This window comes from Homo sapiens, chromosome 1, assembly GCF_000001405.40.
Source record: "Homo sapiens chromosome 1, GRCh38.p14 Primary Assembly".
Classification (NCBI taxonomy): domain Eukaryota; kingdom Metazoa; phylum Chordata; class Mammalia; order Primates; family Hominidae; genus Homo; species Homo sapiens.
In genome coordinates this window covers 184,648,124-184,650,208 of record NC_000001.11, presented here as the reverse complement: position 1 = coordinate 184,650,208, position 2,085 = coordinate 184,648,124, and the positions used below count along the sequence as shown (strand labels likewise).

General features: G+C 45.4%; 1 annotated feature.

Annotated features, from left to right (window-relative positions):
- Positions 433-762: an enhancer, noted in NCBI's record as "active region_2235". NCBI's record gives its function as "activates an Ori minimal core promoter by ATAC-STARR-seq in GM12878 lymphoblastoid cells {active_cell/tissue: GM12878}" and the evidence as "EXISTENCE:reporter gene assay evidence [ECO:0000049][PMID:35858748]".

Genomic DNA, 2,085 nt, shown 5'->3' with positions numbered 1-2,085 from the left:
AGACTCTTCAATCACAGTATTAATATTTAATTGTCCTGTCAGGTCAGATCCTTCCCAGTCAGACAGTTAAAAATGGCTTGGGACAGAGGAGGAAATGAGGGGCTGGGGTGGCATGAAATGAGGAAAGTGAGGCACCTGCCCTGAGGGGATTAGGCTCTGAGGGACAAGGAGGAGCAGACCCTGGCTCTAGGGTCCTGGGAGAAATAACATCTCACTTGTTTTCTCTCTGTCCCTGTCCCCTCAGTACACACATGTGGAAGCACAACAGCATTCCCCCAAAAAGCCATTAAAGAAACCATGTAAGAGTTGAGACAACACCAAGGTCTGTGGAGACAATGAGGTGCTTCTTCAAGGAGACGCCAGGAGGCTGGTCTCTGGGGGAGAGTCCGGAGGATGAAGCATTCATGCCCTCAGTATTTTAAGTTTGTGAGGGGCCGATTGGTATTTTGACTCTGGGCCCCGGCCCAGCCCGCCCAGGTGAAACCTGATTTACATGCATGTTTCTTCTTTGAGAAACGGCGCCTGTGTTGGCTGTCCCAGCATCACAGCAGCATAGAAACATGGCTTGGGAACTATTTTGGGTAAAAGCACTCTCAGAGACAGCCAATAAATGTCTCAATGTGACTCATTCAAAGAGGCTATTAATAGACAGGAGATGTGAGGGACAGGAGAACTGAATTTCATTCAGTTTCAGCCTCTTGCTTTATTTGTTCTTCCTTTTTAAAAACAGAAATCAAGAAGTGAAGTTTGTCTTGTTGGGTTTGAGTGGGGTGGGGAGGAAGAGCTTGTCTGCCGAGCAGTCATCTACCTCCTCCTCTTCTCCCAGGGTCCAGAGAGGGAAAAGCCAACGGGACACTCACCTTGGAGTCTACTAGAGTCTTTTCTGTTCATTCCTGACTCCTTTGCTGAAGAAAAAGCCTAACAAGTCTGGATAGTCACAGGAAATCATGTTGAGGTGATGTCTCATTATCTTTGAGGTCTGAGGAAAATCTTGGAGTCCTACCCAATATCCCCATTCACCTCTCTGTGTGTCTTCTTGGTTTGGTGCAGTGATTCTCATTGGGAAAGCATCTGTGGGGGTGAATTTTGTTGTCTTAATGGTTGAGTTGGGATGGTCTCGCCATTTAACGGGAAAAGGCAGAAATGCTAGACAGCCTGCAATGCTCTGGGTGACGCTCCCAATGAAGAACTGCTCCTGTCCTGCATAATGGCTGGGTGCCAACTGTGCATTCTTTTTTTTTTTAGACAGAGTCTTGCTCTGTCGCCCAGGCTGGAGTGTGGAGGCATGATCTCGGCTCACTGCAACCTCCACCTCCCTGGTTCAAGCAATTCCCCCGCCTCAGCCTCCCAAGTAGCTGTAGCTGGGATTATAGCTGCACACCATGTCTGGCTAATTTTTTTTTTGTACTTTTAGTAGAGATGGGGTTTCACCATGTTGGCCAGATGGGTCTCTAACTCCGAACTCTTGACCTCAGGCAATCTGCCCACCTCAGCCTCCCAAAGTGCTGAGATTACAGGCATGAGCCACCGCACCCAGCCCACTGTGCATTCTTGAGTGGAGAACATGTTCAGAATAATCTGAGCCTAAAATCAAACTCCATTTGACTCATGACCATGGAGTATTAGTTGCATATTTTTAAATGCGTGAAGTTTTTCCAGGAATGCAACTGTTGTGAGAATCAGGGATAAACTAGATTTTGTGTTGTTCACCTTTTGAAAAAATCACATCCCTAATGCCAATGCCACTTGTGGTATTTGAGTTACCCAAACCACATACACCTGTACCAATCTGCATTTGCAGCTGTCAGATTTGCGGTGGTGCTTTTTCTGCAAGCAAGTATCTGACTGTTTCCTGCTGGCTGCTAAGGTAGTTGCACCAAACTTTAACATATTGAAACACATATGATGTCATCATAAATGACTTTTATTTCTCTTTTATATTTCAATTAGGGCATTATACTGATTTTTAAAATTGTGTGTGTAGGTGGGTAATATTAATTTAATTTCAGGGATGTAAAGGGGACACACAGAATATTTGTTAGGCACTGGGTCTGATTTAGGTCTTAAACCAGGATTGAAATAACT